This window comes from Homo sapiens, chromosome 20, assembly GCF_000001405.40.
Source record: "Homo sapiens chromosome 20, GRCh38.p14 Primary Assembly".
Classification (NCBI taxonomy): domain Eukaryota; kingdom Metazoa; phylum Chordata; class Mammalia; order Primates; family Hominidae; genus Homo; species Homo sapiens.
In genome coordinates, this window is record NC_000020.11 from 8,827,285 (window position 1) to 8,845,346 (window position 18,062).

The 18,062-nt window shown below is 40.2% G+C and overlaps 1 protein-coding gene and 1 non-coding gene across 3 annotated transcripts in view; both read left to right on the top strand.

Annotated features, from left to right (window-relative positions):
* Nucleotides 1-18,062, top strand: part of PLCB1 (phospholipase C beta 1) — a 752,635-nt gene that overhangs the window by 695,019 nt on the left and 39,554 nt on the right. The gene's annotated exons all lie outside the window — the stretch shown is intronic.
* On the top strand, nucleotides 3,901-4,109 carry RNU105B (RNA, U105B small nucleolar). The gene has a single exon (NR_004386.2). It is a non-coding gene; the product is annotated as an RNA, U105B small nucleolar (small nucleolar RNA).

The window sequence follows — 18,062 nt, forward strand, 5'->3', positions numbered from 1 at the left end:
ATAGGTATTTGCATTTGCTATGTGTGTTTCCCTGTGTTCGCGATGTAATATATAAAATCAAGACATCAACTGTTGTCTCCCCAGAGTTATGGCTATATAACTTAAGCAGCAAAGGAAAGGATTTAGGGGTCCATTTTAATGTAGGCAAGAGATAAGACCATTTTTTCAAGTTAATAGGAAAGAAAATTATGGAGCTGTACTGTCCAAGGTGGTAAACACTAGCCATACAGGGCTATTTAAATATAAATTATTGAAAAATTGAATAAAATTTAAAATTCAGTTTCTCAGTCACACTAGCACATTTCATGTGCTCAGTGTTCCCATGTAGCTAGTGGCTGTGGTATTGGACAGTGCCAATATGCAACTTTTCCACAATTACGGACAGTTCTATTGAATAGTGCCAAACAAGAACAGGGTTCAAATCCAGGCCAGTGCCTCTGTTTGCACAGCCAGTGCACTAAGAATGATTTTGACATTTTGAACGGATTGAAAAATAATCAAACGAAGAAGAATATTTTAGAGCACATGAAAATCATTTGAGATTCAAATTCTAATGTCCTCAAAATTTCTATTGAGCACAGCCATGTGCATTCTGTTATGCATTGTCTATGTGTTCACACTACAACAGCTGCATTGAGTAGTTGTGACAGAGACTTTATAGTCTGCAAAGTCTAAAATATGTACTCCCTGGCTCTTTAAGAAAAGTTTGTTAACTCTTGAGCTAAAGGGAGGAAAGGAGTAGTATCACACATTACCGTCATAAAAAATATTCTGTATAGATTTGGAAAATGAAGTCAATAAGGAGAAGGGAAAGTGTATCTAGAATTCATGCCCAGATTTGATGGCTGTGGGATATCCTGCATTGGGGGGTGTGATGGTGGATGGGTTGAAAGCTCTGGAAACGTTGGCAATAGCCTTTAACATGTATCCAAAGGCTCCATCAAACCCTCAGCTTTCTCAGTGTCTTTGCAGGTTTTTTAGGATACTCTCAAAAGCTCACTTCTCTCTGTAATTCACCATCTTCCCCATTGTAAAAGGCAAATTAAGTCCTCTCAAAAGTTTGACAATATGAAACAAGGAAATTCAGTTAGTCTCTTGACAGCAATGCCAATTATCTTCCTTTTTTTTAAACATTCTCTTAGGCGAATGCCTAAGACAATGGAAAATTATTTTGCAGTGAGACCCAAGCCAATCCAGACACAAGCTGCTCTCATTACAACCATCTCTTCTCATCTCTTGAGGATGAGCTCACTAATAAGAGTACATTATCTCTTATTGGGACAGGCTTAAATACATGCAAGAACTTCATTAAGTCATTCTCTATCAGAATAGGAGCTATTGAGAATTTCTGCAGAACTAGGATTGTGTCTTCTCTACCTATGAAATGAGTGGTGTCATGACAAAGCACTCTAGGGAGCCCTGCCAACCTATTTGATAATGTTGATGGACAAGATTGTATGGGGAGTGGGGAGAAAAAACACCTTTTATATTCTTCCCTGATGTATGTATAAGTAGTTCTTTAGGAAGAGATGAAATGCGTGGCTTTGTCCTGAATAGATTCCCTTAGGGGACACCCAGGGAATTCCTAGGCCCAGTGGAATTAATGTTCTAGAAAGAGAATCATGCTTCTGTTGCAGAGCCCCCTTCTTAATCCTCATGAATCCTAGTTAATAACACATATAATAAAGTATTCTTATTGATGCCTGTAACTTCCTTTGAAATGCACCCAAAAGGATAAATGATATAGACATATGCTAAAGCAAGTATGGTGAAATGCTACGGGTGGAATCTATGTGGTAGGTATATGGGTGTCCACTGTAAAATGATTTCAACTCTTCTATATGTGAAAAGATTTTCATAACAAAATGTTAGGGAAAAAATCCTCCTGGAATACATTTCATGTAAGCCTCTAATTCCTCAGCATTAGCCACAAGCAGAACTGTCTTCAAAGGAGTAAATCATCAGGAAAAGTCCGTGACCCCAAAAGAGTGCTGTCCAGGTTTTCTCAGGCATGGCTCAGGTTCAGGCACAAATGCAAGTTCCCAGTTCCCATCTCCTCAGTGTGTGCCCGCTGACCTCCCTGCAACAGTTCTGCCCATTGACCAGTAGGGGATAATTCAGATGAACACCTTCGTGCTTGGAATATGAGCACTTAGACTTCTAGATTTTAAAAGGATTTCTGAGCCCGATCTTTACACACATGCTTTAGTTTGTACTGTCTTTCTGTACATCCTCAGTTAAGAGATGCTTTCTGGAGTGTTTTGTAGATGGATTTGAAGACTTCTCACTGCTTCAGTACAGAATGCCCTGGCAATGCACGCCTGGAAGGAGTCCATGGACTGATATTTTCTAGCCAAAGGGAGCTAAAAATCAGCCATTTTGACATTTGGATTTTTCATTGATGTGTCTTGTTTATTTAATTCAATTTAATATGAAAGAGTAGAGAGGGTAGAACAAACTGTTCAGCAACGTATAGATCATTAGGTTTTAAAACCAAATAAAAAGTACTCAGTGTAAAAATTTGCCTGACTGAAAGGATTTTGAAATTATTCTTGAAAGCTCTGAAGCACGCAGAGGCAGCTTTGGATGTGATGGATATTTTTGCTGCATAGAGTATCCAGTGCCAAAGAGATGATTCTGTCAGAAAATATTACGAAGCCAACCTAGCTTTGATAATTGCTTCAGATTGTCTACATATATAATCCTAAATCTCTTTTCAAAGTACTTACACTACCAGTGGTCTTTGATTTATAACTGCTGGTCCAAGAGATGGCCTACTAATAATATAAAACAGGGTCTTAGCTTCACTGCGTATCGTTTCCAGAGGATGTGAATCTTAAGTCAATATAAGAGATGTGTGAGTAGGAATGAGAACTCTTAGAAATCATAGGAAGGGGTTCAAGTCACAGGGAACAGCAGATGTAGCTGGCCTAAGGCAAAGGGAACAGTGCAGGATCAGAAAGAAGTCCATTCCAATGAAAAGAGCTGAGACCAAGGGAAACCATAATGGGGCCAGAGCATGCAAGACCATTGCAAGAAGCATCAAGGGCTTGGAGCTTTATCCAGAAGACAGGAGCAGCCATTGAGAGGGCATGCTCCAGCTTTTGTTTTAGCAGAATCTCTTTGCATGTGATGTGGAAAATGAATTGGAGAGGGGAACCAGGAAACCTGTTAGGAGGCTACTTCTGTAATCCATGAAATGGCAATATTCTGCTTTTATGTCCCTGAGAAGAAAGCATAGGTAAGGACCACTGAATACACATTTGGTAGAAAAAGAATATTCCCCGGCTAAGGATTGGGAAGATAAAACAATCAGGACCACCCACCCATTACTTCATTTTCCTTTATGTATCCGATCAAGTACCCTTTCTAAAAGAAGGTAAACTTTACAGTTTTTTTTTTAATTTAAGCATCTCATTAGAACCTACTGAATATGAGTCTCCATGTACTAATTGTAGTAAAATCTCTCTGAAGGCTGGCATCAGTATGTCTGGGCAGGATGTATATTCTAGCCCAGATTTTGCATAGATGTCACAAGGAGTCCAGAATCCCTTGATTTTCAGACATAGCCATTAGAAGCACACTGATCTTCACAGGTGGAGGCCTCCACTGCCATCAGTCTATTACTGCTGCTTAAATTCACAGCACCGTGGACAAGAGGAGAAGGTAGCCTAGCTGTTTCATTGGCCCCCGCATCTCTCTGCCACATGATGGACAGCCATATCAGATTGCATTAGAATGTTGACTGCATGTTAACTGGTGATCCTTCTTCCTCTCAATACTTATTTTAAAATCACTCTAAACGCCCTGCTCTTATTACTAATTAGATTATTTGGCCTTGGTGTATAGTGTCTTGGGGTCATCAGTATGAAGGTCAAGTCACGCAAAAAGAGTGGAGTCTCCAATGTGGATACACCCAGGAGGTCACTCTCTCCCCAGGCTGTGTCCAAGTAGCATAGGGGAGCACAGGGCTCTGTCCCCATGATGTACTGTCCTTTTCCATGACATTGGAGATGAAGCTGGACCTCAACTCTGCACATGCATATTCCTACAACTTCTCAGAGTCCTGTGGATAATGACGGAGGAGAGAAACCATGCAGGAAACAGCCCCCTAGAGCACCCAATCTGGATCTAAGTTTGTCTTACATGTTTAAGAAAAATTTGCTTTAATTTATTTTACTGTATTAATTGATTAATTTTTAAAGAAATAGTGGAGTCCATCACTAAGACCTCAGGCCATACCTTAGATATTGAGATGTTGAATAAATCCCACCAGTTTATTTTATTGTAATGTGCCTCATTTTTCCTAAAAACTAAACCCCAAAATATAAAAGTTTTCGTTGTTACTTATTTATTTATTTTAGAGACAAACTCTCACTCTGTCACCCAGCCTGGAGTGCAGTAGTACAGTTGTAGCTCACCATAGCCTGAAACTCCTGGGCTCAAGCGATCCTCCCACCTCAGCCTCCCAAGTAGCTGGGACTACAGGCACATACCACCATGCCCAGCTAGTTATTTATATTTTGCTAAATGAATTTTTGAAATAAATTTCACAGATATTTCCCCATTTTCAGTTGAAATTTAATTTTCTTTCTTTCTTTCTCTTTCTTTCTCCCTCTCTTTCTTTCTCTTTCTTTCTTTCTTTCTTTCTTTCTTTCTTTCTTTCTTTCTTTCTTTCTTTCTTTCTTTCTTTCTTTCCTTCTTTCTTTCTGTGCTTCTTTCTTTCTTTCGTATTGCTCCTTGTGTAGCAGGGCTATCCCATAGGCAGGGTGCCCAGGGTAGTGAAAGTTTAATTTTCAGAGTTTTTAATGCCAGAATCCGACTTATGAATTCACTCAGTAGATATTACATGTCACTGGCATATGACCTTTTAATAGATATTTTATTGGCCTAGGAATGGTAAGGTCAGAGACTTGAGTGGTTCCACTTCTAACAGCAAAAAGAAACTATTTCTGGCTATAATAAAATTTAGCATCTTAAAATTTAAATAGAATAGTTGTTTATACTTACTCAGGGAACTGGAGGGTTATATGGGATATTTAAATAAATTGTGGAACACTTGGTCCTGAAAACTGCCCATTATAATACTTTAAACTAATTAAATTTCATTTAAAAGTTTCAAGCTTCCTGAACATCAGGGAAACGTGAAAATACAGTCATGGGTTATAGAGACTAGCATCAGGAAAAACAGCCAGAAATTCTGAACTTGGATCTCTTCGCATGTCCTTGTTCTGCTTAAGAAATTGCTTAAGAGATGACCTTGATAACATTTTAAAAATTTGAGTGCGAAGTGCAATGTATTGCCTTTCCATGGATTAGAGCACATGATAACTCTTGAGCCAGATTATAGGAATCCCTATCATAAGATTAGGAGAAGTGAGAGAAAAGAATCAGAATCGAAAGCCTGGCCCACAGGTGACTCCCTTGTCTAAAGAAAACGCTTGGTCTTGCTTTCAGCACATGGCTTCCTGAAAACGAACTTTACCTTAATAAGTAACTGTTTAAAACTTTACTTATTAATTTGAATTAGTTTGAGTCCTTAGGGAACCCTGCGAGGGTTTAGTTGTCTTGATTACAAAGGCCCACATCCCTCAGAAAGTACCCTCATGTCGGCAGCTGGACAACCTTAAGGATTGTCATTGTGGAATCACGGCACAATCCAATTTCTTATCTCACTGTTATGAGTTGAGTGGTGGTCACCAAAAAGACATGTCCTTATCCTGTTTCCTGGAACCTGTGAATGTTCCCTTGTTTGGAAAAGAGATATTTAAAGATGTTATAAAGGTAAGGATTTTGCAATGAGGAGATTATCTTGGGTCTTCCATGTGGGCCCTAAATCCAATGATGTGTGTATTAGTCTGTTCTCATGCTGCCAATAAAGACATCCCAGAGACTGGGTAATTTATAAAGAAAAAGAGGTTTAATGGACTCATAGTTCCACATGGCTGGGGAGGTCTCACAATCATGGCGGAAGGCAAAGGAAGAGCAAAGGCATGTCTTACATGACGACAGGCAAAAGAGCATGTGCAGGGGAACTGTCCTTTATAAAACCATCAGATCTCATGAGACTTATTCACTATCATGAGAACAGCACAGGAAAAACCCACCTCCATGATTCAGTTACCTCCCACTGGGTCCCTCCCATTACTCATGGGGATTATGGGATCTACAATTCAAAATGAGATTTGGGTAGAGACACAGCCAAACCATATCGATGTATGTCCTTAAAAGAGTGAGGCAGGGAGAGATTTCACACAGAAAGAAGAGGAGGAGGAGGCAATGTGTCCACAGAGGCAGAGATTGGAGTGGTGCAGGCTCAGGTCAAGGAATGGTGACAGCTACTAGGAAGTGAATGAAGCAAGGAACTGATTCCCCCAAAGGAGTGTGGCCCTGCTGACATGTTGATTTCAGATTTCTGGCCTCCAGAACTGTGAAAGAATACATTTCTATTGTTTTAAGCCACTCAATTTTTGGTAAGTCAATATAGCCGCTGTAAAAAACTAATACGCTAACAACGAATTCTGTTTCCTCCATTTATTCATACCTTCCCTAATGTCTGCTTTTCCAGGTGAAGTATCTGAAAGGTCTTTTTCCCTTCCATGCTCTTGCCCATCCTTCTGGAATATTCTCTGTGGCAGTTATGCAGACCTTTACAACCACATTTCTTGTGGGTTGTATGTGTGAAATCTTCAGAGCTCAGAAAAAAAAAATCTGATCAAAAGCAACATTTGAACTACTGAATTTCTTTCTTTTCAAGTTCATTCATTCAATATTATTTGTTGAATAAATATTCAGCAAATATTTATTGAGCATGTACTATGTGCCAGGCATTGTTCTGCATGCTGGAGAAGCCTGGGGAAGTGAGGGGAAAGATGAACAAAAATCCCTGCTCCCATTAAGTTTTCATAGGCAAGCAATACATAAAATAAAGAGGTAAAGTTATAGCATGTTGGATGTAGTAAAAAGAAACTACAGAGAATTAAGAAAGAAAGAGGGATAGGGAATAGTTTTCTGGTTTAATAGGATGATTATGGAAGACTTCACCGAGAAGGTGACCTCCAGAAAGGAGATATATCAGTCAGAGTTCCCCCGAGAAATTGAACCAATAGGAGATATTCACCCTTACATATGTATGTGTATGTGTATGAGATTTATTGCAAGGGAATTGGTTCATGTGATTATGGAGGCTGGCAAGTCCAAAATCTGCAGAGCAGATGTCCCAGTTTGAGTTCAAAAGCCACAGGCTGCTGGTCAGCACAGTGGCTCACACCTGTAATCCCAGCACTTCAGGAAGCCAAGGCGGCCAGATCACTTGAAGTCAGGAGTTCAAGACTAGCCTGGCCAACATGGTGAAACCCCATCTCTATTAAAAATACAAAAATTAGCTGGGTGTGGTGGTGCATGCCTGTCATCCCAGCTACTCGGGAGGCTGAGACAGGAGAATTGCTTGAACCTGGGAGGCAGAGGTTGCAGTGAGCCAAGTCCGCGCCACTGCACTCCAGCCTGGGCGATAGACTCTGCCTCAGAAAAAAAAAAAAAAAAAAAAAAAAAAACCACAGGCTGCTGTAGAATAAAAAAGAACCAATGTCTTAGTTCAGAGGCCATCAGGCAGGAGAATTCTTTCTTACTCAGGGGAATGTTAACCTTTGTTCTATTCAGACCTTCAACTGGTTGGATGAGGCCCTCCCACATTAGGGAGGGTAATCTGCTTTGCTCAGGCTACTGATTTAAATGCTAATCTCATCCAAAAACACCCTCACAGAAACATTCAGAATAATGATTGACCAAATATCTGCGCACTCTGTGTCCCAGCAAATTGACACATAAAATTAACCATAACAGGAGAGGAGTTGAGTGAGCCATAAGGGATCTGTGGGAAGAGTAAAATTTCTAGGAAGAGTAAATTTCAAAAGCTAAGGGCCTGGCTTGTTGAACAATGAGGCAGCAAGTGCAAGAGGGACTGAGAGCCACAGGAGATGAGTAGCAGATGAATTCGGAGTGCCCTTGAGGTGAGGCTGGTAGCAGGCTTGATAGACCATGGACATGGCTTTTTGTCTGCTTTTGGTTATTTTGTTAGACCTATTTCAGGGTCTCCACCGTTGTCACATTCTTTCCTTTTTAAGAGTATTTTTTTTTTCTGGTTATACCCATGAAACCTTATTTTAAGTCCCTAACCACAGGCTTTAGAGATCTATGCTGTATAAAAAGTAATTCATCCAATTCTATTATGACTTATATATAGCAATCTACTCATTTATGAAACAAAGAATTCCAGGCATATCTTGTTTTACTAGCCTGTCCTGAGTATTGTGGTTCGAATTCATTTGTGGACTCTTGAGTAGGGCTGTCTGTCTATAATGACAATGCATATACATGTAGAACCAGCTTATGAGAGTTTATGTTTTATAAACTGCATAATAGATTTAAAAGTTTCTCCATACATATTTCATGATTCCCACCTCAGAGGGCACAGGAAATGGTCCAAAGCAGACGACTCTAACTTAAAATGACTGACAAGGCATCTGGGTCAGTGAGCTTTGGCTGCATAACAAACCACTTCAAAACTTAGTGACTTGAAAACAAATCACTGTTGAGACAATAACCATGTTACTGCTCACAAGTCTATGGGTCAGCTGAACCTTTCTGCTGCTTTGCCTTGGGCTTCATTGATCCCAGCTGGTCTTAGGCAGGTATCTGTGTTCAGCTAGCAGATCAACTGAAGTCTGGCTAGTTGAGGATGGTCTTACCTACCTGGCTGGCAGCTGACTGGCTGGCAGTTGGGACAGCAGGAGTGACGGGGCCCTGTGTCTCTCTTCTTCTAGCAGGCTAATCAAAGCTTGCTCAAAAGCAGGAGCATAGACTTCTTAAGGCCTAGGCCCAAAACTGGCATATTGTCACTTTGACCACATTTTACTGTCCAAAGCAAACCCCAATAACTGCCCAGATTCAAGTGGGAAAGAAGTAGACTTTAAGTGTTAATAGGAGGAGCTGAAAAATAACTGTGGCCATTTTTTCAATCTATACATAATATGCTAATTAATTGTATGTGTTAACTTGACTGGTCCACAGGGTGCCCATTCACTTGGTCTGAGTCTGATGGCCTGAGAATGAGGAGAGCTGATGGGGTATTACACACACACACATACACTATTGATTCTGTCTCTCTGGAGAACCAAGACTGATACAGATTTTTGTCCCAAGAGTGGTTCTAGAGGAAGAGAATTTTTAGGATGAGTTTCCTGAATTGGTTCTGAGGTTTCTGGCATTGGTTCTCTCATCTGATTAGGTTTAACGATGCTAATAACTCTGTTTCCATTAATAAAGAGGGCACTGATAGATAGTCCGTGGTGTACTCTGTCAATAGAGATATATAAATATTACCATTGGATACTCCTAATCAACCACTTATAAGAAGCAAAGATTTTGGTGACTGTGTATATGATGCTTTTGAACATGATTGGCAAAGTAACAAATGTAAAGAGATTGGCTTCTATTGTCATCGAACAAAGAATGAGCTCAGGGTTTGAATTCCCAGGTCAAATGCTGCATACATGATCTCAAAGCTGCTATGTCTGCCCTCGAGGAGACCTTTATCTCCTATAGCCTTAGGACTAAGATCACTGAAAATCAAATGCAGGATCTCATCCTGTGACTGGCTGAACCAACACAATTTGAACCCTCAGCCTCACAAGGTGTCTACTGTTAAAGTCAGTGTATTAACTAGGAAGGAATGCGTTGCTCAAAGTTGGAATGGAGATCAGCTTCAGCCCCGATGAAGCTGAGGACATTGAGCCCCTAAATTATGATGAGGGTTCTTTGCCAGCAGAAGAGCCCTCTCCAGCCTCTTCTAAGGGGATTAATCCTGCATCACCAGAGGAAACTCTAAGGGCCTCCCTCAAGGCAGTTGCCATGCAAGATGATGCTGATTCTATTCAGGACCCCTCTTTGTTTCTAGACCTGTAACTACATTCAAGTCCAAAGAGGCCCCTAAAGGTGACGTACAAAGTGCAACTCATGAGGATTTATGCTATACTCCAAATAAGTATTAAGTATTTAAATTTTCTAATTTATAATAGAAAAGTTTGGAAAACTGTGAGGGAATGCATATTAAGAACATAGGATAATGGTAGGAGAAACACAAATTAGATCAAAATGAATTTATTGATATGGATAAAGGAAGCAGACAGCATGCATTTAATTTTGCAGCTCAGGCATTTGGAAAGTGCTGTAATAGTTTGTTTAGTCAGTTGGCTGAAACATGGGCCAGAAGGTCACCCACAGTGAGCAAGTTGGAAATGCTGAACTTCCCTTGGTTTAATGTAGAGGGAGGGATTAAATGACTTAGAGACATTGGGATGTTAGAGTGGGTTTGTCATTCAAGAATGACTCACTCACATTGGGAGAGTCCTGGAGACATACCTTTCACCATAACTGTGGGAAGTAAGTTTGTGAGGGAGTCCCAGCATCCTTGAAGAGCTCTGTGACACTCTACTCTGTAGGCCAGAACTTACAATGGAAACTGCAGTCACTGAATTGAGAAATCTAAATGTAATGGGAATAATTGGATCCCAGGGTGGCAGGGGCCAAGTGGCAGCACTCGACCGTCAAAGGCAATGTGGCCGTGATTACCATGATGAACAGTGGAGTCAGGCAGCAACCAAAATTCTCTAACTCACAGAGAACCATGGCACTGGCCAGTTGATCATGGTGTTCCTGGAAAGTAAAAGAGATAGGCTGGTGACTAAATTCTTTTTTGCTCTCTGTAAGCTGAAAATTTCTATGTCAAATAAAAAAAAAAAAAAAAGTATTACCTGAATCATGAAAGCATAGAGTCACTATCCTTCAAGGAATTCCCATACTTGAGCCAGTTTATAGACCCAAAACCCTTTCAATGAAGGGGAGGCTGAGTCTCTTTGAGGAAAGACTCCTGTATATTACTGAAAATTTATACTGTTCATCTTTCTCCCATCCTTCTCCAAATGGACCTATGGTGTTTTACCAGGTGACTATGCATTGGAGAAAAGGAAATAATCAGACCTGTTGGAGACTACTGACCACTGGCTCTGAACTGACACTTATTCCAGAAGGCCCAGTATTTCACTGTGGTCCACCAGGCAGAGTAGGGCTAATGGAGGTCAGGTGATCAACAGAGTTTTAATTCAGGTCCATCTCACAGTGAAGTTCATGAGTCTCTAAACTTATCCCGTGGTTATTTTCCTAGTCTGAAATGTATACTTGGAATAGATAAATTCCCTGACAGAACTGCTATATTGGTTCTTGTGACCTGTGGAGTGAGGGCTATTACAGAGGGAAAGGCCAAGTGGGAGCCACTAGAACTGTTTCAACCTAGGAAATTCGTAAACGAAAAGCAGTACCACATTCCTGAAGGATGGCAGAGATTAGTGCTACCATCAAGAATTTCAAAGTCGCAGGGCTGGTGAGTCTCACTATACTCCCATTCAACTTACTTGACGTGCAGAAAACTGGATGATGGAGAGTAACATGGAAAGTTTAACCAGGTGGTGACTCCAATTGCAGCTGTTGTACCAGATGTGGTTTCATTACTTGAGCTATTCCCTGGTACTTGGTATGCAGTTATTGATCTGGCAAATGCCTTTATTTCCATCCTTGTCAATAAGGCTCGTGAGAAGCAGTTTGCTTTCAGCTGTCAAGGCCAGCAATACACCTACACCGTCCTACATAAGGGGCATATCAACTCTCCAGCCCTATGTTATAATTTAGTTCACAGGGATCTTAATTGGCTTTCATCACTAGTCCATTACATAGATGACATTATGCTGATTGGACCTAGTGAGCAAGAAGTAGCAACTACTCTAGTTTTATTGGCAAGACATTTGCATGTCAGAGGGTAGGAGATATATCTGACAAAGTTTAGGGACCTTCTACCTCAGTGAAATTCCTAGGAGTCCAGTGGCGTGGGACATGTTGAGATATTCTTCTGAAGTGAAGGATAAGATATTGCATCTTGCCCCTCCTAAATCAAAAAAGACGGACAATGCCTAGTGAGCTTCTTTCAATTTTTGGAGGCAATATATTGCTCATTTGGGTGTGTTACTCCCACTCATTTATTTAGTGACCCAAGAAGCTGCTAGTTTTGAGTGGATCCCAGAACAAGAGAAGGTTTTATAACAGGTCCAGGCTGCTATGCAAGCAGCTCTGTCACTTGGGCCATATGATTCAGCAGATCCAGTGGTGTCTAGATTTAATATTATGTGTCATGTCCCAATAAAGCTTGGAAGTAGATCTTAACACCATTGCCATCACCCACCCACACACATCCCTACAAGTGAAGAAACGGAAACCTCAAAGCAGGTAAGTGACTGGTCACAAAAATCACAGGTAATAAAGCCAGGAATCAAACATTATCGCAGCATGCTAGAAAGCCTATCTGCTTTTGATTTCTCAGTCACATTATTTTTTAGTAATTCTTAAAAAAAAAAAAAAAAAGCCTTGGCCAGGTGCGGTGGCTCACGCCAGCACTTTGGGAGGCCGAGGCAGGTGGATCACCTCAGGTCAGGAGTTTGAGACCAGGCTGGCCAACATGGCAAAGCCCGGTCTCTACTAAAAATACAAAAATTATCTGGGCGTGGTGGCACATGCCTGTAGTCCTAGCTATTTGGGAGGCTGAGGCAGGAGAATCGCTTGAACCCAAGAGATGGAGGTTGCAGTGAGCCAAGATCGCGCCACTGCACTCCAACCTGGGTGACAGAGAGAAACTCTGTCTCAGAAAAAAAAAAAAAAGCTTGTGTGGTGGACTCTAACCTAATCAGGGCTGATTTATATGTTGTTTTTTTCTCACATATTTTCCTCAATGTTCTGTTCATATCACATAGAATCACTGAGAATTCTTCTCTGACATTCACAGGGCCCCTAAGTACTGCTTCACAGACTGAACTGAAGCAATATTAATGGGTCTCTTCCTAGATAAGCCCAAGCCTCAAGCATAGCCCTGCGCCTCAGTCAGCCAATCTAGAAATAGGGCAAGCTTCTAAAGATGAAAGGGCACAGTCTCTGCTTTTAGTAATCTCACTAGGGCAATATAGCCAAGTGGAATGAAGAGATGAGACAAGGGCTAGACTGTGTGACATGGGCCATAGGTTGACAGAAGCTCCAAAAATAGAGTGAGTGCTCTGAGGAAGCTACACAGTAGCAAGAACATGGTGAGCTGGGTGGAAAACAATGAGTTAGGTCTTGCAGGATGCCTGGCAAAGGTGGGACGTCTGTAGAGGGACTGGCTTGAGCAAATGGTCTCAGAACAAGCTGTGGATTCCCTCTTTTAAAGTTCCAGACTTTCATAACTTCACTTTGGCCTGCATGCTTTCCTTTTGGAGGCAATATCTTCATAAATGCCATAAGAGGAAATTCAACACAGAACCCTCCACTGATTTCATTTTCTATTTGAATTTGGCAGAGACCCCTTTAAGACCGAATCTCATCAAGAAAAATATAATCTGAGCTACATATTGTACTAAATCACTTCCCCCCTTTTTAAATTTGAAATCAGCTTTTCTTTTATATATATTTATTTTGAGATGGAGTTTTGCTCTTGTCACCCAGCTGGAGTGCAGTGGTGCGATCTCAGCACACTGCAACCTCTGCCTCCTGGGTTCAAGTGATTCTCCTGCCTCAGCCTCCGGAGTAGCTGGGATTACAGGTGCCTGCCACCACACCCAACCAAAATACAAAAATACAAAAAAAATTTTTGTATTTTTAGTAGAGATGGTGTTTTACCATGTTGGCCAAGCTGGTCTCGAACTCCTGACCTCAGGTGATCTGCCCATCTTGGCCTCCCAAAGTGCTGGGATTATAGCTGTGAGCCACTGCACCCAGCCATCAGCTTTTATTTCATATGCATGCATAGCATCCTACAACAATAACTTTAAAAAAAATAAGTCATCACCATTTTCTATGATTGCAACCTATATAGAGAAATAGCCTGGTGTTATCCTACAAGACAATTTCCTTAAAATGTGTGAGTAATGGCTATTAAATCATTTTATGGAGCCATTTCTAAAATAATACTCTTTGTCACTGTTACCATAATTACTTTTAGTTGTGGCCATATTTTAAAGAACAGAATGCTTTATCGTGACTGTTATAAATACAAATTATTTTTCCCCTTGTGGGAATCATCAGGCTAATTTGTTTACCATTTTCCTTCTAAAACAGATCATTATTAAAAGGAAATCAGTACAATGATTGTGATTAAGATCAACAGCTCTCTTAATTCTTTGTTCTGTTGAATATCAAGTTTTTTCTGCCTTCCTACCTCTGTCTTTCCGTAAGACAAATCCTTTTGCTGGCAAGGGGTATATGTGTGCATGCAACTCCTGACTTATATCTCCACTCTTACACGTGTGCTAATTGATCTTAAAATTAAAGTCCAGGATGCCAATGAAGGAAATAAGCTCTGAACCACGCAGGTCACAGTTTCTGTTGGTTGTATTTGTGTCAGGGAGCTGTCAGACTCTGCAGTTTGAAATTTAAGTTCTCAATGGACTCTGAGCGCATATCCTTGATGTGTGATTCACACCTGTGGTATCATCATGGGGTCATTTTATTGAAATGTTGAACTTGTTTGCAGGGGCCTTAATTCTTTAGCTTTCTGCAAAACCTAGTTATGTGATGTGTTCTCTGTTTGGGGATAATAGAGAGTAAATGGAAATAAGACATTAACATTGCCCAACCCCTATTATAGTTGGTGTTAATAATCTTTGCCTATAGGTTTGGAAGTACCTTGGCTTATATAACCACTATTCAGATAAAACAAGGAAATGATGACATCAGTGTAAGATTGAATGAGATTTGACCACTGCACATGCCATGCTTTGCAATAGTCTAAAAACCTGGACAGAATGATCAGAACCATCTAACTCAAGCCCAGGGATAAGCAAACAATCAGTAAAAAATGCTTACATAGAAAGCGCATGATATTTTAATATGAATTTTTAATATTTAATTAATTTTAGTGGCTATTGTCTACCTTTTATCAAATAAACAGCTATTTATTATTAGAACTTCTTGCTAATGATTACTGATTTTGACTGTTTGTAAGTCTAGCCTTACAATTTATTCAGAAGTGTGGTTTTAAACACATAAAGTGCTTCATGGCAATGCAAAATCTTCTACTGAAGTGTTTTGTATTATTTCGATTTGAACTTAAGAGATTATGTGGATTCTGTACGTAATAGGTTTTATTCATAGACTTGATAGTGTAGCAGGACGAGCCGCAGACAAGAACCCCTCAGACACCGAGTTGTAGAAGGAAAGGGCTTTATTCAGCTGGGAGCATCGGCAGACTTATGTCTCCAAAAACTGAGCTCCCGGAGTGAGCAATTCCTGTCCCTTTTAAGGGCCTACAGCTCTAAGGGGGTATGAGTGAAAGGGTCATGATTGATTGAGCAAGCAGGCGGTGCGTGACTGGGGGCTGCATGCACCGGTAATCAGAACAGAACAGGACGGGATTTTCACGATACTTTTCCATACAATGTCTGAAATCTATAGATAACACAAGCAGTTAGCTCAGGGGTTGATTTTTAACTACCAGGCCCAGGGCGCGGTGCTGGGCTATCTGCCTGTGGATTCCGTTTCTGCCTTTTAGTTTTTACTTCTTCTTTCTTTGGAGGCAGAAATTGGGTATAAGACAATATGATGGGTGGTTGCCTCCCTTAATAGTTAAATGATTTGGCAATAACAACAGGCCGAAATATAAAAGAGAAAAATTTAGGTTGGTGCAAAAGTAATTGCAGTCTTTGCAATTGAGAGTAATGGCTAAAACCACAATTAGTTTTGTACCAAAATATGTATTTGGATATATATTCTTTAATTGATGTTAACTTACACATTAAGTTTTTAAAATATTAGAAAACCTACAAAATCTGGGTTGAAAATGAGTATTTGAACTTGAAGCATGGCAACCTTTCACCCATTTTGTTTTACCAAATTGTAAATAAATCATAACCTGGTACCATCACCTAGACAGAAATTTTGTGGAATATCTACACTATAAATAATGGAACCCCTGTAAAGTAGTAACTATTTCAAAGTTAGGATCTCCTGGCTTTGGCAAATTTTATTTTTGTGAAAATTAAAGTTGGGCATTGGCAACCCAATACCTTTTAGTGTTCCACTAGAACAAAATTAAATATTAGGCCAGTAATTTGATGCAGTGGTATCCAAACTTTTCCATTTCATGCCCTAAAAATTAGACACTCACAACCCCCATCATAGGCATATTCACTTATTTGTGTGTTCATTTTTACGTTGTAGGTATTACTAGACTAACACATGTGTTCATCATAAATGAATGTATAATATATATATTTTAAATGATAAAATATAAATAATGAGAAAGAATAAAGATGAAAATAATGTTTTATTTTGTTTGTTAATGATTCAAAACAAATCTTTGCCCTCCATATAGAGAGTCCATGTGTTTGAATAGACTTTATTATTTTCAAAACTCCTCACTTAACACTTTGATACAGGAATCCAAAACTCTGATCTTAAGTTTGGATTTTCTTTTCCATATTTGGTTTTAATGGCTGTCACTGCTGGGGAAAAAAAAGATTCCTCACACAGATTTGAAGATTAAAATGGAAGGTGTGCATCCTTTGCCGAGGCTACTGCTTCATTACACTCCTTTTATTCATTCCCATCTACCAGTTGTAAAGGTTTGACTTTCTGATGGATGCTTAATTTTTAAGTGCCTGCTAATTACAATGGCTTGCCACTTTCATTAACATGCCATACACTTAAGGCAAAACTCACTGTTAGCTGTGAGAAAGTAAATACATATTTCAAACAGTCTTCTTCATAAAATTACTTTTTAAATGGATTCTCCTGCAATATCTGATTGTTTTCACCTCAGAATGTAGGAAAGGAGAAAACGTCAGCTCTCAACTCTGCCGTTGTCCTTTTGTTTGCCGTTGGCACAATTGCTAATGTGGTTCATCTCAATGTCTTTGCAGGGTTTAGTCCATTTGGTGAGGGTTTGTTTGGTTAAAATAGATAAGGTAGCCTGTAAATCCATTGAATCTGAGCATGTGTACACTGAATGTGTTGAAACAAGCTGAAAAGTCATCGTATAAGCAAGGGCACCACTGTCCAAGCCCTTGAACGTGTGGGACAGGCCAGGTTCCATGGCTAATGCCTGTAATCCTAATGCTTTGGGAGGCTGAGCCAGGAGGATCACTTTAGTCCAGGAGTTCAAGGCATTGAGCTATGATTAGGCCACTGCACTCCTGCCTGGGTAACAAAGTGAGACCTGGTATCAAAAAAAAGGACGGGGGAGGGGAAAGGTGTGGTGCCCTCTTCTTTCCTCAGGTCTCAAGCCCTGTAAGTCACTAACAACCTTTTAACAAACTAATGTGGTGCCAGTGTCAATAGGTATGAGTAAAGCTAATTTCCCTTACAAGTGAAATTCTAGTACACTTTTCCCATAATCCAATAGATCATCTTTCCTTTTATCCTCTGAACATATGCATGCATCTTAAAAGACTACGGATTTAAAGTACTAGATTAGGCCAGGCACGGTGGCACACACCTGTAATCCCAACACTTTGGGAGGCCGAGGCGGGCGGATCACGAGATCAGGAGATTGAGACCATCCTGGCTAACATGGTGAAACCCCATCTCTACTGAAAAAAAATACAAAAAATTAGCCGGGTGAGGTGGTGGGCGCCTGTAGTCCCAGCTACTCGGGAGGCTGAGGCAGGAGAATGGTGTGAACCCGGGATGGGGAGCTTGCAGTGAGCCGAGATCACGCCACTGCACTCCAACCTGGGCAATAGAGCAAGACTCTGTCTCAAAAAAATAAATAAATAAAATAAAATAAAGTACTAGATTATGTTTTTCTTCCCAATTAAACAGATCATGAGTTCTTTTGGTGACTAGGGTGTTGTGGCATTTTGGAGGCAGGAAAGATACAGGAAGTTCCCATGCTATAAGCCTTGTCTCTTTGAACATATCTAAGCATATTAGATCTGTTAATTTTTGCTTCATATAGTTTGAAGGTATAATTATTGGGTGTATACATTTTT